This window comes from Homo sapiens, chromosome 1, assembly GCF_000001405.40.
Source record: "Homo sapiens chromosome 1, GRCh38.p14 Primary Assembly".
NCBI classification, from domain to species: Eukaryota; Metazoa; Chordata; class Mammalia; order Primates; family Hominidae; genus Homo; species Homo sapiens.
Window position 1 is genome coordinate 36,675,448 of NC_000001.11, and position 27,611 is coordinate 36,703,058.

The following is a 27,611-nucleotide window of genomic DNA, read 5'->3' on the forward strand; positions in this document are numbered from 1 at the left end:
AGAACTGGACGTAGGAAACAGGCAGGAGACAAAGGCCAAGAAGAATTGGCTGGAATCAGAAGCATTGGAAGCTCCGAAAGTGGAAGGTGATTTTCTGAGTTTCCTTGGAAACCTGAGTCCTTATACTGTTCAAGGTTGGGAGGAGGTGAGTAGCCAGGTGTGAGTAAGGGGCTCCATTCCTGGTGGTCGTGGTTTTGTTGGAGGGCATTCATAGGCCTGAGGGTTTCCCAGCCTGCAGGCAGTTTTAGAATCGGTAAAGTTCAAAAGCACAGAGCTCATCAACAATTAAGCTCATGTAACCATTTCTCTCTTTGTCAATTCATTGAAATTTAGGAGAATGAATTTTATTCTTCTTTAAATTTATTGTCTGCTAACTCAATCAAGGTTCTTTTAGCAACTTAATTGTTTCTGTATTGCTCCTAACTCAACAAAAATGTCAGAAAATGAAGTTGATAGTTTAAAAAACCTTATTCTACATCCAGCAAGTACCTTCCCTATCGTTAACAATGAGCCATTTTCTGTACTTGGCCTCTAAACACAGAACAGTCTATAGAGTTACACAGCTGCTGTCACAAATAGCTAGTCAGACAGACCTGGGTTCAAAGTTCTTCCCCTGCCCTCCACTGCTGCATGCTGGTGGTATGACCTTGGGCAAGTAACTTAGCCTACTTGCACCTGAGTTTCCTCACCTATAAAATGGGTATAATAATACAGACCTGCACAATGTCATATTGTATGATTAGTAAGGTAATTGTATGTAAACCATGCAGCAGAAGAGGGTCCAACACCTAGAATGTGCTTAAGGAATGGTAGCTATTGCAGTTTTATTATTGGAGTAAATGCATATTCACGGTAACATTTAGTTGCAGTTAAGCTTGACTTCAGTAATAAGTGCTTTAACACCTGACACAATAACATAAATACGGTAACACAGATTTACGGTAATACCGTTAGAGTCCTACACACAATAACAGAATCGTTGCATGGAAACAGTAACATACAAATGTAGTAGTGTAATTGCAATAATGTTTAGCCACAGTTACATATGCATATAATAACCTTTAGCTATACTAAGGATGATACATAACAAAGTGACAGCTACAGTATCAATATACAGTATCACACAACTATAGTAATATATATATGTTACAGTAATATATAGATGCATCAACTTAGAGTGAAAATACTTAGGGTAAGTCACAGGTAGAGTGACATTCCCTATAAGATATAGATAACTACAGAAATACATAGATCCTATAATATGGTTAAATTTTCTTATAGGAATTATAATGTGTACATCCAATAACATGTGGATAGAGTAATACACAGAGTCAGACCTGTAGGAACATTGATAAACAGCAGGCAATGTTGCTTCCAGCATTCTCTCTACAGTTGTTTTTCAGGTTACAGTTTTTCTGAGAATCTTATGAAAGCTATGGATGCTCTTCTTAGGAAAAAAAACCTTCCCAAATGCATTTATAAGTGGCAAAATTCTGTATCCGTGTAGCCCTAGCTCTGGTCTGATATTTAGTGTTCAGATGTCCCAGATTCAAATACTTGAGAATCAGAGCAAGGAGAAATAATCTCTTAAGAGATCAGACTTCTGTCCACATCCAGGCATAGTCTATTCCTGCTTACTGGACTCTGATTTGATTTGATTTTTTAGGTGACCTACTCTTCTGTACTGTTGGAGCAAAGAGGGCATCTCTTTTTGATCATGGTTTTGAGGTCCAGCTGCTCCTGCTGGCTAATCTGACTTCTGCTGAGGAGACCATCTTTGCCTGAGCAAAAGTCCTTTTTGACCAATATCCTGTAAAGCCCAAAAAAGTCAGTTCCAAACAGCCTATGCATAGGCTGGTCAGTCCTTTTGTATGGAGATGTTGGTGGCAGTTGCAACCTGGCTGGTGCTTGGGGCTGCAGTGGAAGATGAGTAATTATTTAGGGGCAGCTGGTGTTCACTAAAGTCAAACTGACAGACCACCTTCTTCATAGTTACATTCCCCTGGACTTGCTATATCAGTTAGCTATTGCTGTGTAACAAAATATACCAGAGCTTAAAAAATACACATTTATTATTGCTCATGAATTTATGGGCGAAGTGGGTGGTTCTTCTGATCTGGGATAGGCTTGGCTGGCTTTGGCTGGACATACTCATACCTCTACAGTCAACTGGCTGGTCTCAGATGACCCTGGCTGGGAGAACTGGCTCAAATAGGTGTTCTGTCCATGTATCTCTCACATCCCTCTAGCAGGCTTGTTTACAAGGCAGCATCAGGATTCTGAGAGAAAGAGAGAGAAAGAGGGAGGGAGGGAGCTGCGTGTGCAAGCCTGTTGAGGCCACAGCTTCAACTGGAGCACTGTCACTCCTGCTGCATTCTATTGATCAAAACAAGTTACGAAGTCAGCCGAGACCCAAGGGGTGAGAAAACAGACCCCAATTCCTGATGGAGGGAGCTGGAAAGTCAAATTGCAAAGGTTTTGGTACAGAGAAGAATGGAGGATTGGGGAACAACTACACCTGCTTTGCAGGGAGAGTTGCTGGGGCCTCTGCCAAGTCCTCCTTTGGATCCCTCAGCAGGGCCAAAGCTGAATCTTGGGCTGATTTCTGACCCTGCACACTTCAGACTTGGCTCCACATGGGCAGTGGGGCCCATTTTCTGGTCTCAAACCCTCATAAATCCCTCCTTCTCTTGGGTGATTGGAACATCTGACCCAAAAGGGCTTATCCACTGGCTTCTAGTGATCTGTGCCTTGCAGGATTTCTCGAAACAATGAGGTAGGCCATCACATTTCTCTACTGGGAATTTGAAATCTGGGCCCAGAGGTGATGAAGAGTCAGTGGTGGGTAGAAACTGAGAGATCATGATGAGAGAGGAGAGCAGACTCTCAGAGAGAGATACAGAAGAGAGAGACCATGTAAATACAGAAAGGAGGCAAAGGGAGAAGTGGACTGGCCCCAGGTGCTTTCCTGTTTCCAGAAAACTTGCCTGAACTTTGTTTTCTGTCCTTGAATTCAGTGAAAGCTCTGTTTCCTTATAATATGCCCCTCACTTTTGCTTAAGAAAGCCTGACGGGTTCTATTCTTTGCAACCGAACACTGTTGATTAAGGATCCCCTTTAGGGGAGAAGGCCAGACAAAGCTTCCATGGGGGACCCCAGCTTGTTGGCATCCATCCCATACATCCCAGAGCATTTTCTCTCTTGGGTCTTGCTGACAGCCCAGGCTCAAAATAATTAGCTTTCGATGTCTAGCCTCTGCCCCAAATCAGAGAGACACTTGATATTTGCAAAAGAAAGTCATTGACATTCATTCCTGAATGTCCCTGAAGCTCCACCTCAGGGAGAGAGCCACATAGTTCACCCACCACAAAGATGATTTTCCCTAAACTAGGGGTGAATGTTCTGCCTTTTACTTTTATATAGGGCTGGTTGAGAAACAGACACCTGAAAAGAATTTCTACACTTTCTTTTACACTCCTGTTGAAAACATTGTCTTCTACATGACAGCCTATGTGATACATTTCTTTAAGAATTCAGTGATAGGTAAAAGTTATGAAGAACATTTTATGAGAGAGAGGCCTCTGAAACTCAATCCTTTCTATTTTGTTTTTCATGGTTACAGGGAAGCTCACACCGAAATTTACCATTCAATCACTTGCTGACAGTTGCCAAACATGCCGATATTGATTTCATATATATATGCTACCATTGTTGCAATGAACGATCACAAACTTAATGGTTTAAAATAACACATATTTATTATTTTACAATTCTGGAGGTCAGAAGTCTAAAATTGTTCTTAAGGGCTAAAATTAAGAGGTTAGCAGAGCTGCATTCCTTCTGGAGTCTCCTTGGGAAAAATCTGCTATCTTGCCTTTTCTAGAAGCTACCTGCTTTCCTTGGCTCATGGTTCCTTCTCACGCCTTCAAAACCAACAGTATAGTATCCCTCAATCTCTTTCTATATCTGACTCTGATCCTCTTGCCTTCCTCTTGTAAGAGCAGTTATGATTATATTGAACCTACTGAGATATTCTGAGATTATTCTTTCTAAATAAAATCAACTTAATTCCATTTGCAAAGTCCCTTTTGCCATCTAAGGTAACCTAATAACAGGTTCTGGGGATTAAGATGTGGACACCATTGGGAGGGGCTATTATACAGCCTGTCACAATATGTATCTCAGCCCCCCTGTCCCATTTATGGGACAATTCTGAGGTGTGTTCTACAGCCTCACAGAGGATCCCCGGCAGGATTGAATCCCAGTTGCTCACAGCAAAACCCACTCATGAACATATCTTTATTGGTTCTCTTCCCTCCTTGTGTTCCTACTTCCTCACACACTCCTTGGGATCACCTCTGATAAATTATTTGTACCCAAAGTGTTGTTTCAGAATCTGTTTTGGAGGAAACATGAACTGAAACAAGAACCATATTAGCCTAGATTTATCGGCATATTTTCCTTTCCTTCTTTCTCTGGAGTCCTCTGAATTTTCTATTTTTAATACTTATGTAAAAAAACAGGATAATATAGAAAAGAATATGAGCTTTGGAGCCAGAAAGACATGGATTCAAATGTGAACTCAATTTCTTATGAATTGTGTCTTTTAAAGCACTACAGGTTTCTGAAGTATCTTATGCATCGTCCAAAATATTTTTTTTCCCTGACTAGCGTGGTATTAAAGTGCATTTCATGTTGCTCTTTAAAACTAATAGATAATCCATGCATATACATTCTAGTGTGCAGAATATGTGCTTCACCAGAACATAGATTTCATGATCTGCTGAGATACCAGAGGTTTCCCAGTGCATGGTGTTTAATGAGGACCTCTGGTTTTGCATTATTGAAGCCCATGTTTCCCATACACTTAAAATTATCAGAGTATCTGTTCACAGGTTTCTGATGCTTATTGGGTAGCATGGTACCCCTGTTATATGCCAGTTGGGGAAGGGTCTACGTTGCGTGCTTCTCCTCACCTGAGACTGCAGGCTGTGTCTGTGGTCCTGATGTGGACTCAAGTCCTACAGGAGCAGCTCTCTTCAGTGTGGGGTTCTCAAGATGATCCTTTGGAAGTGCAAAGAAAATATTAAAATGATGATTTATCTATTTAAAAAGACCCAAGTTCAGTGTTACTAGTATTTAATATGTGGATTGATATTGGTGTCCTGTTATATGTTGGGTAGTCATGGTACATGGAAGGGCCAACGTGTGCTGAGGGAGGAGTGGCGTTTCACAGAGCAATAAGATTAATGGTGGTATCTACCTTCATATGCCACTCCTAGCCATGGAATTTCAGTTTACATGTGGCTGATTAAGGGATTCATGGATTATGAAATTTAGTTTGACCTTAAGCAAAGTTTTAATTGCAGGATAATTTATATACAAAAAGGTATACAACTTTTAAGGGTACAAGTCAATAGATTTTCACAAAGTGAACACATCTCTTATAATCATATAATCCAGATTAGAAAGAAAGTTTCCAGCACCCCTGAAGCCACTTCTATGACGTCTTCCCATCACTACCTACCCCTCGGTAACCCTTATCCTGATTTCTAGCACCATCTATGAGTTTTACATGTTTTTGAACTTTGGATAAATGAAATCATGTGTTTGAATGACTTTTTAAATTCAACATTACACTTGTGAGGCTCATCCAATCACATTGTTTTGTAGTTTGTTCATTCTCATTGTTGCACAACATTACACTGCATGCACACATCCATTCTCCTGTTAATGAGCACTTTTGGTGTATCCACATCCTGGATATTATAAATAGTGCCACTAAGAACATTCTTATGCATGTCCTTCTATGAGAAAATGTAATTTTAACTAAAATAATCCTCACAAAATGGGAAGATGGCTTAAAAACTTCCTGCAAAAATATCATGAGTTGAAGATAATACTAATAAATGCAAGCCCATCAAACAGCCAGAAAATGGAAAGGATGATATTTCTACTCCGAATAGAAAGTTTTGGATGAATGACAATTATTTAATCATACCCAACAAGAAATTAGCAAAAAAAGGAGGAAAAATTTAAGAAGACTTTGCTATGTACATGTGACCATTCATGATAAACCTTGAGAAATTAGCTAATGAGAATGTGAAGTGTCTGCAGTTAGCATGTGTGGATGTCATTGGCTCCATGCACCAGACATTTCTGATTCTTTTTTAAAAGATTGTTTCATTTTTCAAAAATTTCAATAGGTTTTTGGGGAACAGGTGGTGTTTGGTTACATGAATAAGTCCTTTAGTGGTGATTTCTGAGATTTTGGTGCACCCATCACCTGAGCAGTGTACACTGTATCCAATGTATAGTCTTTTATCTCTTACCCCACTTCCACTTTTCCCCCCTGAGTCCCCAAAGTCCACTGTATAATTCTTATGCCTTTGCATCCGCATAGCTTAGCTCCCATGTATAAGTGAGAACATACGATGTTTGGTTTTCCATTCCTGAGTTAGTTCACTTAGAATAATGGTCTTGACATCCTGGCTAACACGGTGAAACCCCATCTCTCTAAAAATACAAAAAATTAGCTGGGCATGGTGGCAGGTGCCTGTAGTCCCAGCTACTCGGGAGGCTGAGGCAGGAGAATCGCTTGAACCAGGGAGGCGGAGGTTGCAGTGAGCCAAGATTGAGCCAGTGCACTCCAGCCTGGGTGATAGAGTGAGACTCCGTCTCAAAAAAAAAAAAAAATAATGGTCTCAAACTCCATCCAGTTTGCTTGCTACGAATGTTATTATTTCCTTCCTTTTTATGGCTGAGTAGTATTCCATTATCTATATCTATATCTATATCTATATCTATCTATATATCTCCAGGGAATATATATACCACATTTTCTCTCATTCTTTTTGATTGATTGACTTCCTGGCCTGCTTGGAGTTAAGTGTGGCCATGTGACTTGTGTTGGTCATTGAAATATGAGAAGGAGTGATGGATGTCACTTCCAGGCAGAAGCATTAACAGCCAATGTGCTGTTTATCATCTTCTCTTTTCCCTTTGCCACAAGGACTGGCAATGTTCTGGAAAGAACCTCAGTCAGTCTGGGTCCCAGAGTGAGGCTGTGCTATAGCTGACCTGTGATGTGCACGTAGCATGCAACAAGCTTCTATCGTTTTAAGCCACAGTTAGTGGGAATATTTGTTATCAGAGCAAAACCAAGTCTCTCCTAACTAATATAATAATATCCTTTAAAATGAAGCATCCGGAAAACAAAGACAAACCTCTAATATTGTTTTCCGATGATATCCAAGGTTATGTGATGCTCCCGCTGGTTCTTTACATCAGTTCTCATACTTTGTGGCAAATGTTTAGATGCCTCTTTTGAGATTTTTTTTTTTAAACAGTGAAAGATAAAAAGCCACATATCATCAAGAAAATGCTTGTTCTTCCTGCCTCAGAAAAAAATGGATGAAATAATCCACAGAACACAATCCATGGACAAACTAAAATGCATTCCCTTGTCAGCAAATGTAGTTGGAAGACGCAAAGTGAGTACTGCCAAACATGTGAAGAAACAAGTACTAGAACAAATTATGCAGTGTAGGAGATCTGCTCTACCATCAAATGAAGGCACTGATATTTCTAGCATGTCTCAGCTTATGGTATACACTGGATTTGGGTTTCAATAATGAAATACACAAAGAATTACTTTTTTATGAGATGTACTGAAGAAGATACAGTTTTAATAACCAATGACTTACTTAATGAAAACAGTTTTTTTAAATGAAAAACAATATAAATATAGCCACTGAGAGAGTGGGTGCTTAACTGAAATACATGAAGTAGTCTGGATTAAAGTTATCGAGAGTACTCCAAATGTAAAATTCATCAAAAAACTAACTGTTGAAGCAAATAAATTGAGGCGAGAAGTGTACAAAATAATGCAGATGTTATTGATGAGACTATATTATCAAAATAAGATCTTTAACATATAGTAGAATCCTTACAGTATTTTATATTGAGGATATAGAGGTTTGATTATTTTTAATGAGATATAGAAGTTTGATGGTTATCTTGTGGAAAAATACTGAAATGTGGAATTTTAAGACGTTATACATTTTTCTTTTTTTTTATTATACTTTAAGTTTTAGGGTACATGTGCACAATGTGCAGGTTTGTTACATATGTATACATGTGCCATGTTGGTGTGCTGCACCCTTTAACTTGTCATTTAACGTTAGTTATATCTCCTAATGCTATCCCTCCCTCCTTCCCCCCACCCCACAACAGGCCCCAGTGTGTGATGTTCCCCTTCCTGTGTCCATGTGTTCTCATTGTTCAATTCCCACCTGTGAGTGAGAACATGCGGTGTTTGGTTTTTTGTCTCTGCGATAGTTTGCTGAGAATGATGGTTTCCAGCTTCATCCATGTCCCTACAAAGGACATGAACTTATCATTTTTTATGGCTGCATAGTATTCCATGGTGTATATGTGCCACATTTTCTTCATCCAGTCTATCATTGTTGGACATTTGGGTTGATTCCAAGTCTTTGCTATTGTGAATAGTGCCGCAATAAACATACGTGTGCATGTGTCTTTATAGCAGCATGATTTATAATCCTTTGGGTATATACCCAGTAATGGGATGGCTGGGTCAAATGGTATTTCTAGTTCTAGATCCCTGAGGGATCGCCACACTGACTTCCACAATGGTTGCACTAGTTACAGTCCCACCAACAGTGTAAAAGTGTTCCTATTTCTCCACATCCTCTCCAGCACCTGTTGTTTCCTTTTTAATGATCGCCATTCTAACTGGTATGAGATGGTATCTCATTGTGGTTTTGATTTGCATTTCTCTGATGGCCAGTGATGATGAGCATTTTTTCATGTGTCTTTTGGCTGCATAAATGTCTTTCTTTTGAGAAGTGTCTGTTCATATCCTTCGCCCACTTGTTGATGGGGTTGTTTGTTTTTTTCATGTAAATGTGTTTGAGTTCTTTATAGATTCTGGATATTAGCCCTTTGTCAGATGAGTAGATTGCAAAAATTGTCTCCCATTCTGTAGGTTGCCTGTTTTCTTTTCTTCTTCTTCTTTTTTTTTTGATGGAGTCTTGCTCTGTCACCCAGGCTGGAGTGCAGTGGGGCGATCTCCACTCACTGCAAGCTCTGTGCCTCCCGGGTTCACACCATTCTCCTGCCTCAGCCTCCCGAGTAGCTAGGACTACAGGCGCCTGCCACCATGCCCGAGTAATTTTTTGTATTTTTGGTAGAGACAGGGTTTCACCGTGTTAGCCAGAATGATCTCAATCTCTTGACCTCATGATCCATCCGCCTCGGCCTTCCAAAGTGCTGGGATTAGAGGCGTGAGCCACCGTGCCCGGCCATACATTTTTCTTTTACAAAAAAAGAAGTGTTTTAAACTTGCTGACCATTTAAATAAATGGCTGTCAAAAGTATGCTATACAACCAAACATTAAATAAATAAATAAATAAATATACATATATATATATATATATATATATATATATATATATTTTTTTTTTTTTTTTTTTTTTTTTGAGATGTAGTCTCCCGCTGTCACCCAGGCTGGAGTGCAGTGGCGTGATCTTGGCTCACTGCAACCTCTGCCTCCCGGGTTCAAGTGATTCTCCTGCCTCAGCCTCCTGAGTAGCTGGGATTACAGGCATGCGCCATGACTCCCAGCTAATTTTTGTATTTTTAGTGCCCACGGGGCTTCACCAGTTGGCCAGGTTGGTCTCAAACTCCTAGGCTTAAGTAATCCTCCTGCCCTGACCTCCCAAAGTGCTGGGATTTACAGGTGGGAGCCACCACACCCGGCCCAAACATTTTTTAAGTGAATTTTTAAATTTTGAAATGATTTTATATTACAGAAGAGTTGAAGAGATAGTACAGAGAGTAATTGTATGCTCTGTGCCCAGTTTCCCATAATGTAACTTCTTACATAACCACGATACATTTGTGAAAACTAAGAATTAACACTGTACATTGCTATTAACAAAGCTCCAGACTCTGGATTTTACCAGATTTGCCACGAATGCCCTTTTTCTGTTCCAGGATCCAATTCAGGATACCACATTGCATTTAGGTGACAGAGATCTTGAAAGAAAAAAAAAAAAGCACACACATTTTCTCTGTCTCTCCGTGGTACATTTGACATGTGAATAATGACTCAAAGAGAAATTACTTTCTGAAAGTAACTAGTGCTATGGAGAGAGCATTTTTTTTTTTAAAACAAACGTTTGGAAATGTCATTGTTTGGTGATTTTTGTGATAGAAAATGTTGTACATATATCACCCATAGCAACTCCTATGTATGAAAACTTTAAAAACTTGGAAACAATATTTTAACCTGTTTAAAAACTTCCAAAGTGTTTCAGAACTGATTTGCTAAAAATATAAAAATATAACACCTTTTGATTAGTTTGCAAGAATCACTGATTGACATCAGGGAAGATGGAAATTTGCTTGCTGAATTTCAACAAAAAACTTTGCATAGTTGGTGGATGAGAATGTAAAATAACTATGAGTATTTAGTAAGCACAGCCAGCATTGTTGTTTTTCCATTTAGAACAATGCATCTTTGCAAGTAATCTTCCTCCCTGACACCTCCAGTAATTAAAACCAAGTATCAAAATAATCTGAATTAAGAACCAGGCCTTTGACTTGCCGTATCACACAGCTTTGCTTTTTAAAAATGAAACATTTTCAATCACATGGTTCCCATGTAATCTTTTTTAAATTTTTATTATTTATTTATTTATTTATTTATTTTGAGATGGAGTTTTTCTCTCGTCGGCCAGGCTGGAGCGCAATGGTGCAATCTCGGCTAAATGTAACCTCCGCCTCCTGGGTTCAAGCAACTCTCCTGCCTCTGCTTCCCGAGTAGCTGAGGTTACAGGCATCTGCCACCATGCCCAGCCAATTTTTGTATTTTTAGTAGAGGTGGGGTTTCACCATGTTGGCCAGCGTGATGTCGAACTCCTGACCTCAGGTGATCCACCCACTTCGGCCTCCCAAAGTACTGAGATTATAGGCGTGAGTCACCGTGCCTGGCCTTCATTTAATCTTTTAGTGAGAACAAAAGTGCTTTGAACCATTAATATTAATAACTATGTACAATAAAATGATTTAAAATATTTTATCTTTATCTTATCAATTTAAATCTAAATAATTTTAATTATGTTTTACAATACACGTAAAACATTAGTGCAGTGATACAGAAATATACTTTATAAATAAACATGCCAAATGCAAGCATGTACCCATTTTAAAAGAACTGGCAGGGGTGGCTGGAAAAAACTGTTTGGGATGTGGACACCTGTGGAGCAGGTGCCTGGTAGATGCTGAGGAGGGGAGAGCTCTGTGGATGCTTGGAGGGCTGCCTGGGGCAGGGTGGGTCAAAGCCACCAAGCTTCCATGGTATTAGTTAGACATCAAGGCTCAGTGCCAGGGAGACAGTCAGGACTGTCACGAAAGCAGAGGTCCAATCCCATTCCAGGTGTTGGGGAAGGAAAGGAGTCTAGAATTAAACTGGCAACCTCAGTGTCCAAAGACATACCCCGAGCACTCATGTGCCCACCAAGTTGCAGCCCTCCCCAATGCCTACCTCTCATAACTGGTCTGGCCTGGGGTTCCCTGTGGACCTTGGTGCCAACACCCAGTGTCTTCTCTGAGTCCTGACACTTCAGGTTGTTGCCTCTATGTTGTCTCTGCCCAGACCAGGCAAGCTCCTCTCTGCCCAGCATCCTCTCTCACATGGCCCTTCTCATTGTCTGCTGGGGGTTCTATCATGGGAGCTCACATCCTGCTTCTCTTTGCCTGGCAGACCCCCAATGTGTGGGTTGAATGGTGGTCTCTAAAAAGAAATGTCCACATCCTGCCCCCCAGAACTTGTGAACGTGACCTTATTTGGAAAAAGGGTCTTTTTACACATCATTAAGTTACAGATCTTAAGATGAGATTGATCATATTGGATTGCCCTGGACAGACTCAAAATCTGATCAATGTCTTTATAAGAGACAGAAGAAGACACAGACACACAAAGGAGGGGAGAAGGCCACGTGAAGAGGAAGGTGGAGATTGGGGTGATGCAATCATAAAGAAGGTCAACAGCCACCGGGGGCCGGGAGAGGCCTCTCATCTCCTAGAGCTTTCGGAGGGAGCACAGTCCTGCTGACACCTTGACTTCAGATTTCTTGTTTCCAGAGTGGTGACAGACTAAATATCTCTTGTAAGCCACCTAGTTTGGGGCAGTTTATTAAGACAGCCCCAGGAAATTAAAGTACACACTAACATTTTTAGCCCCAACTTGGACCACTGGGAAGCCACCTCTGGCTTCTCTAGTCTGGGGCATAGCCACTCCTTTGGGCTTCTCCCTGGCAAGTGAAGAAGGTATAAGTTCTCCTGTTAGAACGTATTTGTATGTGTTAGAAATACATCTGTCTATCTGATTCTCTCTCCCCTGAGCTAACCCAGAAAACTCTGCAGCCTCTCTGATTCCCCAAAGCTCCCAGGAGCACAACGCTGTCCCAGATGAGTGAGTTTCACTGGAGGTTTGAGGGTAATGAGAGTGGTTACACAGGCCAGCACATGACTTAAAATCAAACCCACACTCTTGAGCCTCAGCCATTCCTGGTAATGTTCACTGGCTATGTCTCATCTTCAAGCCTATCAGTTTCCACCATGTTGCTCAGACTCCTGGTCTCTCAAAGCCCTTCTTACATCTCTTCTCCTATATCTTGGGGAGACTCTCATCATCTTGGATGTCTTCAGCTGAGTTCACCAAGAAGGAGACCTGAGGTAAGGATATGAGTGCAAGTCATTTTTTTGGAGGTGCTCCCAGGAAGCATGGGTAAAGGAACAGGGAAGACAGAAGGGAAGGGGAGGGAAAGGAAAGGAAGAGAAAAAGGGGAAGAGAGGGGAAGGGAGGGAAGAGAAAGGGAAAAGGAAGGAGAAAAAGGGGAGGGGAAGGGAGGGGAGGGGAGGAGAGGGAGGAGGGGAGGGGACGGCAGGAGCCCCGACAAGCCCTGAAGAGACTTATGTTTCTTCATAAAGGAAGGGATATGGGAAGGGGTATGGGAAGGGGAAAGGATGTGGGAAGGGGAAGGAGTATGGCAAGGGGAAGGGGTGTGGGAAGGGGAAGGGAAATGGGAAGGGGAAGGAGTATGGGAAGGGGAAGGGGTGTGGGAAGGGGAAGGGAAATGGGAAGGGGAAGGAGTATGGGAAGGGGAAGGGGTGTGGGAAGGGGAAGGGAAATGGGAAGGGGAAGGAGTATGGGAAGGGAAAGGGGCGTGGGAAGGGGAAGGGGTATGGGAAGGGGAAGGGGTGTGGCAAGGGGAAGGGGTGTGGGAAGGGGAAGAGGTGTGTGAAGGGGAAGGGGTGTGGAGAGGGGAAGGGGTGTGGGGAGGTGAAGAGGTGTGTGAAGGGGAACGGGTATGGGAAGGGGAAAGGGTGTGGGAAGGGGAAGGGATGTGAGAAGGGAAAGGGGTGTGGGAAGGGGAAGGGGTGTGGGAAAGGGAAGGGGTATGGGAAGGGGAAGGAGTATGGGAAGGGAAAGGGGTGTGGGAAGGGGAAGGAAGGGGAAGGAATATGGGAAGGGGAAGGAGTATGGGAAGGGGAAGGGGCGTGGGAAGGGGAAGGGGTATGGGAAGGGGAAGGGAAGTGAGCCAATACAGAGTGCTGATGAGCCATCACTGTGGGCAACAGGGGCTCCATTTCACTGGGACATTTCACTGGGACATTTCACTGAGGTGTGGAACACACCTCAGAGTCGGCCCACCTGAGGGTCAAAGAAGCTGTGTTTAGCCTCCAACTTCCGTCTGCTATTGGCTGAAGGCTGCTCCCAGTGGCAGTGACTCCCTGGCAGGTCCAACCTGCATCTCAGGCAGGCCCTGAGAAGGCTCTCATTTGGAGGGGTTCAGAACCTCGCAGGGGCTGAGCATGGAGGGCAGGGGCACAAGGGCACCAGCAGCATCTGTCCCAGTGGAGCAGGCAGGGTTGCTATCTTGCCAAGCCTGCTGAGTCCATGCTCTTGGAGAAGGGGAGGTAATTTTCCCTCTAAAAACAGCCATCAAGGCCATCAAGGCATGTTGCTAAACAAAGAACAATCCACCCTGGAGAAAAATTATGCCTCTTTCCCAAAAGACAAAGGGTGTGTACACAGTGGTGGTTTGAAAAAAAGCAGTTGCTTCTGTATACCATGGGGTAGATACTATTATTACCCCCACTTGATAAATTAGGTAACTGAGGCCAAGGGAGGCAGAGACGGAGTAACAAAAGCCAAGATTCAAACTCTGGTCTTCCTAATGGAATAACCACACGCACTCCCAACTGCTCCATGGGGCCTGGGAGTAGGGCTTGGGTTAAGTGTACGAACGCACAAAGCTTTGCCATTTATAATCACCTCCTTCTCCCCCATCCTGTGTGCAGGGGGAATGGGGCTGCTCTTGTCGTGGCCATTTTACTGAAGAGTAACTAGAGGCATGGATAGTTTTAAGTCATGTGTCTAAGTTCCCATAGACTTGAACCAAGTCTGTCTGACAACAAGTTGTTGAAACTGCCCCCTTTAACATCCTTGAAACACAAGGTTCCAAGTGCTGATGGCTCCAGGCAAATCCGTCCCCACCATCAAAGTCTGCAGCTGCACCATAAGGGGAATCAGAGAGAGGCGTGATCTTCAGAGACAACAGGCAGGGTGCCATCCTAAGTGTCCCCACCATCACCACCCTCATTCCCATCATCCACGAGTGGCAGGCACTGCCTAGCCTTATGTTGTTGAGTACTCACTAGATTCACAGAAGGAAATAGGATCTGAAGAAGAGATGGCCATGAGCCAAGAGGAAGGGCTTAGAGCAGTGAAGAGCACAAGCTGCCTAGGTTTGAATCCCAGCTCTGCCATCTGCCAGCTGTGTGAGCTTGGGCAAAGTACTTAAATGCTCAATGCCTCAGGTTCCCCATCTATAAAACAAAGATAATGCTGTCTATCTCAAGGGTTGCTGGAAGACTAATGTATAGAGAGAAGCTAGAATGTAGGTTGTGCCATGGAATTATTAGCAATTATTAAGTTGGTATTTATGGTAGACTCCAGTCACTTTGGGAATCGTGGGGGCTAAGCAGAGAATCTGAGGTAGAAGACAGGTCATATGGAGTTAACTTGAGAGTAAGGTTGAGGGGAGAATGGTTGGGACCTCCCCAGGCACACGGTTAAGAGCAGTATAACTAATGCAGAGCTCATCCTAGTGGGACAGGCCTCCTTAAGCCCTCCTCCCCAAGGGCACCCCTGGATTGAGAACTGAACATGGATGTCCTGTGGGTGACCAGCCTCTGTAGGTAGAAGTGTAAGCATAGCCAAGAGTCGGCCTTTGGAATCTGATAGAGCCAGATTTGACTCCCAATTCTACTGCAAGTTATTTTGCCGTTACACCTGTGAAACAAGAATGGCAAAGGCTTCCTTTGAGGGTTGACGAGTAGGTGGCCCTGGTGACCACTCTCCCCTTGAAGTCCTCTCCTCTGACTGCTCCCTTTCAGACTCCAGCATGACCTCCTCTTCATGCCCCGCCTCTCAATACCAGCATCCCTGATGGTGCTGTCCTGGGCCCTCCCCCCTGCTTGGTCTCCCACCATACCTCTGAAACGGTGTCCACACCGTGTCCGCACCACAGCTTCAATTACCAACTGCAGCACAGGCCATTCGAAGTCCACCTCCCCTGCACAGACTTCCATCTCGAGCTCCAGATCCTCTTTCGAACTGTCCACTGGACATCTCCGTCTCCCAAGCAAACTCAACATATTCAAAACCAACTCATCATCTTTTTTCCAACCTGCTCCTCCCATCTCAGTAAACACCATCACCTTCCGCTGAGCCACCAGGGCTAAAACTTGCACCCCATCTTCCACCACTTCCTCTCCCTTGGCCAAAAAACTCTCTCCAATCCATCCACCACCCTAGACCAGGCCACGGTCATCTCTTGCCTCCATCTGCATCCATCCTTCATCCTGCAGCCAGAGGGATCTTCCCAAAGCACAAATGTGAACATCTCCGTGCCCACACTCTTTCATGACTCACCAGTGTCCTCAGGATCAAGGCCAAGCTTCTGAGGCTGGAGTGTGTAATTTTCACCACCTAGGTTCTGCCTCTCTTGCTGGCCTTATCTCTTACCTCCCACTACAGATACACCCTGGAGCTAGGAATTCAGCTTGGCTGCTCCTAGGATATGCCTACCCTAGCACCCTGCCAGGTAGGGCCGGATCTGAGTCATCCCTGCAACTTCTATGGCCAGCAGGGAGAATGAATAACCTGCACGGTGTCTTTCCAAGTGAGAGGGTTTATGAAGACTGGGAGGCTTGGAGGTGGTGACTGGTGGGGCAGGTGCGGGTTCTGAGGGACGTAGTCCTGGCACTTTGTCTTGAAGGAGGGAGTGCTGGCACAGGAAGGACAGGTGCTGTCAGCAAGAATGCCACCTCCCTCTTGTGACCTTTACCAAAGACATTTTCTCTGAATGTCAGGTTCATTAGACACAGGATGGGGAGTGGAGGAATTGCTCTAAGACTGAATGAGAGACAGGACAGACAGATAGACGTTACCTGGATTGTGACAAACCAGCCTATAGAGTGAGGAGACACTGTCTCTACAGGCATGTGCTCCCTCCAATTCGAGGGACAGAGCCATGCTCATCCTCCTCAGACTGAAGGTCTCTGGGTCAGGGCCATGTCTCTTCTTCAGAGTGGAGTTCCCACCACCTCCCCTCACCTCCATATTGTTCTCTGCCCCGGGGTCCCAGGGAAAACAGTACCAAGAATGGGGCCTCAGTCCATAGTGCTCATCAAATGGCCCATTAAGATGTGGTGTCCTGATTCTCAGGAGGGGCAGCTACACTTACTCCATCACCCTGCCCCTCCCTGGGACATTCAGAATAGGTCCCTGGACTTGAAGCATCTTTTCCTGCCCAACCCTATTTCTCTAGCCCAGTCCGTCATCTGAGGATCTGTGTGTCTGACTCAGAAACCCACTCTCGGTCTGCCTCATATTAGACATTAGAGAAATAGATCAGATATTTTCCCCACCCTCAAGGAGCTCTAAGTCTCATGAGGAAGACACGCAGATATACAAATATTACCAAGTGGTGGGCTCGGTGTCATGAAAGAAACAGGTCCGAGGTAGAGACATGCTGTGGAAGAGAGTCCCTGTAGGTGGAGAGTCATGAAGGGCTTCCTGTGACAAGATAACATCTGAGCTGGGCTTTGAAGGATGAATAGGAGTTTGTCACTTTGTGTGTTCTTTCTAGGAGACTTGGTTTCTGAAAACAGAATAGTCTGCTTCTGTGAGCTGTGAGCTCTCTGAAGAGCACAAGGTGACTCTGAGTCCTTGTCCTTCAGGCCACTTTCATTGCTGTGCAGCATGGTCAGGGCACTGGAGAGCAAGGAGCCCTAAGATCTCACTCCTGCTCTCTGCCTCCTGGTTTTCCTCCACAACGCTCAGCATAATTGATGGCGCAGTGAGGCATGCTGGGCACCTTCTGCTCCCAGACTAGCAGCTCTCTCCTGGTCTGCTGCCCCAGAGCTCCCAGGAAATGGGCTCCCATGCCATCGGCTAGGGTTTCATGTGTCAGTGCCAGGCACGTGTTGGGTTAGGGGGAGTCAGGGACAAGACTCAGAATAGCGGGCTTCTCCTGTCTAGGAGCTTCCAGGCTTCATGCACACATACACGTGCCACCCTCAGAACCTCATCCCCCATCCACCCCGTCTCCACCTCCCTGAAGACCTTGGTCCCCTCCTGGGGATAACTGACACCCTGACCCCACAGTTCTGCCCGGAAGCTCTGCCTCCTCTTCCTCTTCCTGCCCTCTGAGAGGCTCCTCTGCCTTCCTGGAAGCCGCCATCTCCCATCCTGAATGTGGAGCAGCTCCACCCGGCGCCTGGCTCGGCACCCTCACAGCTCCTCAGCTGCCAACTCCATCTTCACGCCTCCCAGAGGATCAGCTGTCAGCTGGTGCTGGAGATGGGGGAGACAGAGACAGGGAGAGATGCAGTGCCAGGAAGGGAGAGATGAAGAGAGGAGAGACAAAAGGAGGAAGGCAGAGACAGGGGCTGGGAAAGAAGGGCAAGAGAGAGAGTCAGAGGCCCCGTGAAGGGGAAGTGGAGAGGATAAGACAGGTAAGGGGGAGACATAGAGAAAGGGAAAGGCTGGAACAGAAGAAGGCAGCAACCCTGAAGGCGACTCATCTGCCGAAGTCCATTCCTGCCATTAGAAGTGACTGAGACACAAAAACGCGGGTTTTTACACTCTATGCAGAGAAGACAGGGAAGACATGGCCTGCAGTGCACCAGAGGAGGGGCTGGTTTCCAGGGAGGTGGGGGAGCAGGAAGAGCACTTACAGCTTAGCACACAAGCAGCACAAATACACTCGCATGCACGCACACAGTGAGAGAGATATACATATACATACGCATGCGCACACACATACAAAGATATACACACAGAGGTGCGCACACACACACATGCATGCAAACGTAGACACACACAGAGAAAACCAGAGATACACATGCACACAAGCAAACATAGACACATACACACGCATACAGCACAGACACACTCATATACATACACACATGCAAACACAGACACACACATCAACACAGACACACGGGCTCTTCAGGGGCTGAGTGGCTTAATAGCCCCACTATGGGGAGGCTCAAACCTGTCTGTGGTCTGGAATGAGGGTTCTCTTCTCCTCCACAGAGGTCACAGAGGCCAGGTCAACCCAACTTCCCACCTCCACTTTAGAGGGTGTGTCCACGCAGGATGCAGGGTATCCCTAGCCAAACAGTTTCACACTGATCCGAGTCCAAGCACCCATCATGGTGGAGCTGTCCCCAAGCTCTTTTGTGCAGAGGATAAGGAGGCACAGATAGTAAAGGGACCTACCCAGGATCCCTCAGCCTAGCTGCATGGGGCTGGCCCTGGAGCCTGGGGCACCTGATCCTTGCCTCCATCTGGCTCTGCGGCTTCAGGGATTGCAGTGGGAACTGGACAGGCTGTGGGCACAGGAGGTCTCCTGCTACTCACACCCCCCTCCCAGGAGAAACTTCTTTTCCAACCCCCAGCACAGGTCCCAGCCAAGTGGAGCCCGGACCCACTGCACCCTGAGAAGAGTGCAGCCTGGCCCTCTCTCGGCCTGTCTCAGGCCAGGTGCTCTCTAGGCTGGGTGAGGCTGTCACTGCCAGCAAGGCAGGTGAGTGGGAGGCACACCCAGTCACTCAGTCTTATCCCCTACCAGCCCGGATGAATTCTGCTCTTGGACCAGCTTTACAGGGGGTTATGAGACACTGGAAAGAGGGGACCCTCTACTGCTAGAGATGGTACAGAAGGGAAGAGGGGGCTTCGAGGTGGGAGAGAACCCAGCTGGAGGCAGGAAGATGAACAGGGTGGACCATGGAGAAACTGCACCAGAAGCCAGCCCAGAAGACTTAGAAATGCAACCTAACAAGGTCTTTCTGATGTTACCTGTGGAAGGCCCCATGCTGGGAGCTGGCGGGGAGAGATACTGATGATAACGGGCACCCATTACTGACCACCCACTGACCCAGGCGTGTATGTCATAACTCTTTTGACCATCACAATGCCTTGTGTACTGTTATTAACCCATTTCACAGGAGAGAAAACTGAGCCTCAGAGAGGTGAAGAGCCAAGCCTGAAATTCCAACCTGAGCAGCATCAAAGTCCACCTTTTTCCTTCAACACTTTTCTGTCTCCCTGTGTGCACAGAGAGACAAACAAAGAAGGAACAGATTAGAGTAGGAATTGCCCTTAAGCAGAGATTACATGTTTGTTGGGAAAAGATTTTTCATAAACTCATGTAGATGTAAGTTTAGCCTCCATGCCTGAAGCTAAGGTTACAGAAGAAGCCAAAGAGTGCAGTAGATTGTAGAATGCCAGGCTCGGAGACCACACTGCCTGGATTGAACCCTGTATCTGCTGCTTCCTGGCTGTGTGGCCTCTTCCCTGGTCCCCAAAATGGGGATAGCAAAAGCTTGTACTTGCAGATGTCTCATGAGGTTTAAACGTGGTGATTCTATAAAGTACCTAGAACAGCTCCTGGCCCATAACAAGTGCTTGATAAATGGCAGCTACTGGTGTGGCTCAGGGAGACGTTCTTCTGCTTAGCTGAGGGAGGAGGGGAACAGATGGGGAAGGGTTGGAAAGCAGGAGGGGAGACAATGGGGGAAGGAGCAGTGAGAGAGCACTGTGCACTGAGGGACCCCCCCACGACACCCCACTCCCACCACCACTCAAGTGTGGGCACATCCTGAATGCTTGGTGAGATCGGATTTGTTGTAAAAACCAATGAAGTAGCAGCTGAATTCTTCAACCCAGGTGGACTCAGAGGAAAGGGATGTGAACCAGAGACCTCAAGTCTCCCAGATCTCATAGCAATCCCAGGGAGGGAGTGGGACTTCTCCAAGACATAGAGATTGGAAAGTTCCCCCAAGTCATCACTCAAATGCAAGAACATGGAGGCACCCAGCTGGCATTTGGGTTATACAAGCTAGTGAGGTTTGTACGGTGTCAAGGCGTTGGTGTAATAATCATCTCGGCTGATACTCACTACATGCCTGTATTGTTCAAAGCATTTTACACACGTGATCTTTCTTATTTAAGCTTCAAAACAATCCTATGAGGTTGGCACCGTTATTAGTCTTGTTTTACAGATTGAAACCAGAGAGGTTAAGCAACCTGCCTAAGGTTACACAGTTAACCACCGGTGAGGCCAGGAGGCAGACCCAGAAAGTCCAGCTCCAGAGTCCATATTTTTAGCCATTACTCCTATTACTTCGTGAGGAGAACCAATGGGAGAGAGCCACACTGGGCTTCCAGGAGAGTGCCCCCCGAGCCTGCCTCATCTCAGGTCTGCAGGCATGGTCACAGCACAACGGTGATAACCCAGCCAGGAGCCCTCATATTCCTGACTCTGGGCTCAGCATCAATCAGAGGCTCCAGTGAGCTCAGGGTCTGCACCACTCCCTACTAGGCACCGATCCATGTGAAGTAACAAGTGCCAGGATTGGGGCAACAGTGCCAACCTCAGCCAAACCTGTCACAGGCCGGCAGCTCTGAACCTACCAGGCATCATCCCTCCAGCCTGAGCCACGCTCTCCACTGAACACTTGGCTGACCAAGCCTGGCCCACCTCTCTCAGCACCCCTCTCCTGGCTCCATCCCACTGCTCAGATAATGCCACCATCTGGGGCCCATCTGCAGGGAGCCTGCCTGGTTGTTAGAGAGGGGGCATCTTCCATCTGCATCCTGTGGGAGCATCTTAGGACTCCATAAATCTCAGATTGGGCAGAACAGCACCTGCCAGCAAAGGGCCAAGGCATAAAACACAATCCTCTTAGCATCCTTCTAGGGAGGACACAGGCCATGCCACTCAGGGTAACTCCAGGAAGATTTGTGCAATCAAAAAGGCAACTCGTGGTGGAAGGAGCAAGGGCTTTGGAATGGGATCCTTCATTGGAAGGGGCTTCAGGCAAGCCGATTCAGCGATCTGAGCCAGTTTCTTTATCCGTAAGATGGAGATAATATAGCACAGATGTCACTGGAACTCCATCTTAATCATTTGCATATCCTTTACACCTAGAATAGGGCATGGGAGGGCCAGGTGCAGTGGCTCACGCCTGTAATCCCAGCACTTTGGGAGGCGAGGCTGGCGGATCATGAGGTCAGGAGATCGAGAACATCCTGGCTAACACAGTGAAACCCTGTCTCTGCTAAAAATACAAAAAATTAGCTGGGTGTGGTGGCGGGCTCCTATAGTCCCAGCTACTTGGGAGGCTGAGGCAGAGAATGACATGAACCCGGCAGGCGGAGCTTGCAGTGAGCTGAGATAGTGCCACTGCACTCCAGACTGGGTAATAGAGCGAGACTCCGTCTCAAAAAAAAAAAAAAAAAAAAAATAAAAATAAAAGAATAGGGCATGGGAAAGATGTTTGTGGAATGAATGAATGCAACCAATCCGATGGCCATTCTGCCTTCATTCTTGCTAGCAGCGCCCCAATTCAGGCCAGATGACAACTGTGCCTGATGGCTCTGGAAAAGTCATGGCAACCCTGTGTCCCTTCGTGGTGACTGCTATGGGCGGGGTGGGTGGGGTGGGTGGGTGTGTGACCTAGTTCTAGCCAATGGAATACAAGGAAAAGTCTACTGGGAGTTCTGGGACAGATTTCCATCCCTGATCAAAGAAAGGAGGTGTGTGAGGAGAGCATGCTTGCTCTTGAAGCTTTCTTCCTGCTGTCAAGATTGTTAAGGAGAGTGAGGGGTTTGGTGATGAAGTAACCAACTGGCAACCACAATTGGAAAGAACAACATCATCTGAGGATGGCAGGAGAGAAAGAGAAGAGCATGGATCCTCAATGATATTATAATACACTGGGCTGCCAAATCAGCCCTGGGAACTCCTACCATGAAAGTTATAGTTAATTAACAATAAATGTCCACTAAGTTTGAGCCACTTCTAGTTCCTATGCAGACGCTTGCAGCTGTAAGCATTCCTATCTGACACAGTGACCAGTGAAGGAATGAATGAATGTCTTGTAGCCTGAACAATGCTATGCAAATGTTTGTTATTGTTGACAACATTAATACAGTAACACCTCATTTATTTAGCATTATCAGCAGTGGGCTTTGCTCAGAAGGAAAGATTCAAGATAATTGAAGTTTATCTCCTTTAGGCACCAAAGTATTATTTTGATTTTAACTGATTTTGATTTTTAAAAATCTGAAATGTATCACACTCCTATCTATCTCTCCCCTCTCTCTTTACCTCCCCCCTCCTCCTGTACATACACCCACACACAGGATGCTGACAAGAATTCATTTAACTTGGCTTGGACATGGTGCTCACCAACAAATGCACATCGCCAAAGTGAGAAGAACCTAGCAATTGCCCTGGAGCCCGCAGAGGTGGGGGTGAGGGTGGGGTGGGGTTGCTTAGTCTTGCTCTGATTTCCGGAGTCATCACCCCTTCCAGCCATGTCCCATCAAGCTGCCAACTGTCACAGAATGACTGCCTCTTAGAACTCTCCCCAGCTTGGACAGATTTCTCAGTCCTGAGCTGTAAAGCCAGACCACCATCCTTGCTATACTTGTGTGCAAAATGGATTCTTGCAGCAAGCTCTGACCAAGGGACTGCCCTAAGGTGTCCAGGTGAGGAAGGCCAGGCTTCCACCCCAAAGAAGGGATCGTTCATTTACTCAACAAATAGTTACCGAGCACGTATTCATTGAGGCAATAGAGACGACGAATGCAAGCTTTGGAGCCAAAGACCTGAGTTTAAATCTTGCTCCTGCTATTTACAAGCGGTGTGAACCCGGGCAGGTGACATCCCCTCCCCAAGCCACAGTTACGCTTATCCATATAATGGAACTAAAAATAACCCTTCCACATAGGAATGAGACTAGGAATAAATAAGTTACTGTGTCTAATGCCCTTAGAACAGCGACTTTTATTTGTAAAAGTAAAACAAATGTAAGCTATTGTCACCATTTTTACTATGCACTGGGCTTTTTTTCTGTGGACCAGAGCAACAATGGTTAACAAGAATGGCATGGCCTCTGCCCCAGGAAAGTAACAGTTAATCAAGCTTCTACTGACAGGAGGCAAGATCCCAGTGAGATAGAGACTCAGCCAAAGGAGAAACTGGATGTGAATGATATTAAGGAGAAACATGTCTCTTCAGGGCTTGTTGGGGCTCCCGGATTTCCTACCATATGTGGGATGCTTGCGGGGACCGTTTTACTCAAATATTACATGAAGGGTGAGCCTTAGGACCGGATCATGTAGGGACATCTGGTGCCTGGCAACTTGAGTTTATGTGTGGGAGGCACCTAGCACAGTGCTTGGCTAGGCTCCTTCCGAGAAAGGAGGTTTTCTGTGCAAAGCCAGGCACTCACAAGGGAACGGACGCTTGGCCTCGGAGAGCTGAATTTGAAGCAGCTGAGCTAATCTGCCAGGTCTCTGGGAGCCCTCTCCACTCCTCACTCTCTCCTTTGTTAAGCAGAAAATGCCAGTGCAGACTGCTGTTCCTCTGGCTATCCTTCTGGATGTTCTTTCTAGAACATTCAAATCTCAGATACTGGGGGCACTTGATTTCTAATGTGTGGCCAGGCATACACAGTCATAGATAAGACTGTGAACCAAAGTTGCTAAGTGATCAGTAGGCAACCATTTTTGGCTCTCCCTTTTGTGTTATAGCTGCAGTATTTTCCTTTCTGCCTCAGGGCCCTTGCACATGGTGCTCAGAATGTCATTCCCCCAACACCTCTCTTCTTTGCCTACTCCTGCCCATCCTTCAGATCTCAGCCCAGGCATAGCTTACTAAGGAAAACCATCCTGGATGCCAGGTTCCTTTCTTACAGAACTGTGTATTTTCCTCCAAATCTCAATCTATGCGATTATGTGAATAGTAATAGCGTCTGTAAGCCAGAAAGCACCATGAGGCAGGGATTGTGCCTGAGTTTTTTCTGCACTGTACTGCCGGCATCAGCACAGCTGGCCAGAGGAGGTGCTCACCAGATATTTGCTGAAGAAATAAATGAAGGTGTTCTTAGTCCCTGGGTAAAGGGATGAACTTGGTCCCCATCTATGGGTTCCAGGGCTAATGAGGCCCCTTAATGGCCATCTTGCCATTGTCCGGCCTCCAGGGGAGCCATTCTCCTGCTTAAATTGTGAATGATCCCCAGCCCTGGCACAACTTTTCCCACTGTGTGACTGGGCAACATTACTTGTGTGGGGATGCCAGTATGCATTCCATGACCAAGGGTCACATGGGATGTACGTTTGGAAAATCAGAAGGTAAATTCCTTCCCTCCTTCCCTCCTTTCCTTCCTTCCTTCCTTCCTTCCTTCCTTCCTTCCTTCCTTCCTTCCTTCCTTCTGTCCTTCCTTCCCTCCTTCCTTTTTACTTCCTTCCTTCCCTCCCTCCCTCCCTTCCTTTTTTCCTTCTTTCCTTCTTTTTTCCTTCCTTCCTTCCCTCCCTCCCTCCCTTCCTTCCTTTTTTCCTTCCTTCCCTCCCTCCCTCCCTTCCTTTTTTCCTTCTTTCCTTCTTTTTTCCTTCCTTCCTTCCCTCCCTCCCTCCCTTCCTTCCTTTTTTCCTTCCTTCCCTCCCTCCCTCCCTCCCTTCCTTCCTTCCTTCTTTCCCTCTTTGTCTCTTGTCTTGTCTTTTCTTTTCCTCTTCTCTTCTTTTCTTTTCTTTTCTTTCTCCTGTAGTGTTTGTCTGGCCTTTTAAATGCTAATGAACACAGTGCGTCTCCAGGAGGAAGGGTCTCCTCTGCAGCAGGCCCTGTGTATTTCACCCTGGGATTTATTGATTTCGCATAGGAAACTTGGGATTTAAGGTTAGAGGTAATTTTGGAGGAAATGTTGGCCTACAAAGTCCAAGTTTTTTAGCCTCATGCTTAAGGTCCCTAAAGACTTGGGCCCTGCACCATTCCATGCCCTTTACATTTACTCTTTGCTCCAGCTGCCCAATGAAGCACAGTTTCCCAATTACTGTGCTCTCTTGTGCCTCCATTCCCTCTGTCAGGGCAAAGGGAACCCTGTTGCCCGCTGGCTGAACTCCTATTCATCCCTCAAGGCCAAGACCAAGTATCACCTCCTCTGTGAAGCTCTCCCTGGCCTTCCTCTGTGTTCCCAGAGTCGCCAGGAGGTTTTTCTACCAGAACATGACCAGAATCTACTGTAAGGAACTGCTGACATATCTGTTCTCCCTTTAAAGTTCCCAGTGTCAAGGTCAAGGCCACATCTTATGGCCGTGTCCCCAGTGACCGATATAGGACCTGCATGTTTATTTGCATAATGTTTATTTGCTGAATAAGGGCATGAAGGAGAGTTAAAATGGAAATGTTTTTTCAGTCTTAAAAACAGTAGCAAGAGGGATGGCCTAGCCTCAAAGAGTACATAAAAGGTCAAAGAATGGGGTGAAAATGGGGATGAGGTGAGGCTCAGTGGGTGCTGCACATAGTATCTGCCTTAATGAAGGTCATAGGCCAGACTCCACTGGCCACTTCTAGGTCCTCCCCTCACAGAGCCTCTAATGGACATTGAACAGAGCTGTCCACTCTTTCCTTCCTGACATATTGACTCCTCTGGGCCTCTAGGATACCACATTCCAGCTCACTGGTACCCCCCCGACCTTGGATCTCCAAATGTTGGAGGGCCCAGGGGCTCAGTCCCTGACCTTTTTTCTGTATTCATTCCCTCTCAAGTGATATCATGGAATCCACTGGCTTTACCTGTCATCTCTCTGTGGATATCGCCTGTCTTGCCCTCGCCACTGAGATCCAGATGCATTTACCCAGCTATCGATCCAAAAGCTCTACTTGGGTGACTAATAGGCACCTGAACTTAACAAGACCAAAGCAGGATCTTTGATTATCCCCTCCCTGAAATGTGTTTCTTCTCTGGTCTTTCCATTTCAGAAAACGGCATCATTACTCACTTAGTCGCTCAAGCCAAAAACCCTTCAGCAGGTTAATCCATCAGTCAGGCCTGCAAGCTGTATTCCTAAACATAGCCTCAATCTACCCCTTTCTGGCCATCTTTGCTATCATGCCACTGTCATCTCTCATCTGGACCACTGCAACAGCATCCAAACTGGTCCCTGTTTCCTTACTTTCCTCCGTAATGCTTCCCATTGCCACAGACCACAGGGATTTGGAAAGAGTGGGGGCTTCAAAGTCAGAAAAACCTGGGTTCATATCCTGGTTCTACCATGTATTATCTGCGTGACCTCGAAGAATTGACTTACCTTCTCTGAGCTTCAGTTTCCCATTCGTAGAATAAGGATTAAAGCAACTAACTTGCTTTGGTGATGAGGTGTCCATGGGGTCTTCTCTTCTACAGTTGAAATAATGAAATGGGGCTGAATTTGAATTTACTAGGAAAACACAAAATCAGACTAAACATTATGGGAGAATTGCATTGGGAAATATGCACGTGGTAAGTCTTGTGACCATCATAATTGTACCTATTATGTGTCATGCCCTGGCTCAGGTGATGCACATATACTAATGTTTGCTTTTTAAAACAACCCCATGAGACACACCCATGTGGGAGACTCAGAGTAGTTAAGTAATTTGTCCAAAGGCACACAGCTTGCAAATAGGAGGGCCAAATTTTGCACCCTGGTTCCCTGACGCTGGAGAAGCCCGTGCTTTCACTTTGTATGGTTAGATCAGATGAGATCAGGCACATTCAGGTGGTGTGACTGTAGCCTGCATGGCTAGATCAACGTACAATACAGCCTCACCCACGTGGAGGCAGAGAGCCCCTGACTTGGAGTTGGACTTGGGCTTGAGTTTAGGCTCCGCTGTTTGTAAAAAATACGCCTCAGCCAAGCCACTAAATCTCTCATAATATCTATTTCCTTGTGAGAGAAAAAAAAAGTGTCAATACAACAGTATTACCATATTGGAAGGTGCGTTTGTCCGTTTTGTGTCACTATAAAGGAATACCCAAGACGGGATAATTTATAGAGCAAAGAGGTTTGTTTGGCTCATGGTTCTGCACTCTGTACAATCATGGCGCCCGCATCATCTTCTGGTGAGGCCTCAGGAAGCTTTTACTCATGGCAGAAGGTGAAGGCGGAGCA

General features: G+C 45.7%; 2 long non-coding RNA genes across 3 annotated transcripts; both read right to left on the minus strand.

Moving 5' to 3' along the window:
• Positions 1–793: 793 nt before the first annotated feature.
• On the minus strand, positions 794–26,874 carry LOC107984941 (uncharacterized). Its single transcript, XR_001737977.2, has 3 exons — positions 26,769–26,874; positions 4,977–5,064; positions 794–2,279 (listed from the first exon to the last, which is right to left on the minus strand). It is a non-coding gene; the product is annotated as an uncharacterized LOC107984941 (long non-coding RNA).
• On the minus strand, positions 11,261–19,520 carry LOC105378648 (uncharacterized). Of its 2 annotated transcripts, XR_947188.2 has the most exons (4): positions 19,470–19,520; positions 18,664–18,780; positions 17,727–17,957; positions 11,261–12,761 (listed from the first exon to the last, which is right to left on the minus strand). It is a non-coding gene; the product is annotated as an uncharacterized LOC105378648 (long non-coding RNA). The 2 variants fall into 2 exon arrangements; XR_007065829.1 differs by lacking the exon at positions 11,261–12,761 and having other exon boundaries at positions 16,449–17,957.
• Positions 26,875–27,611: the final 737 nt, after the last annotated feature.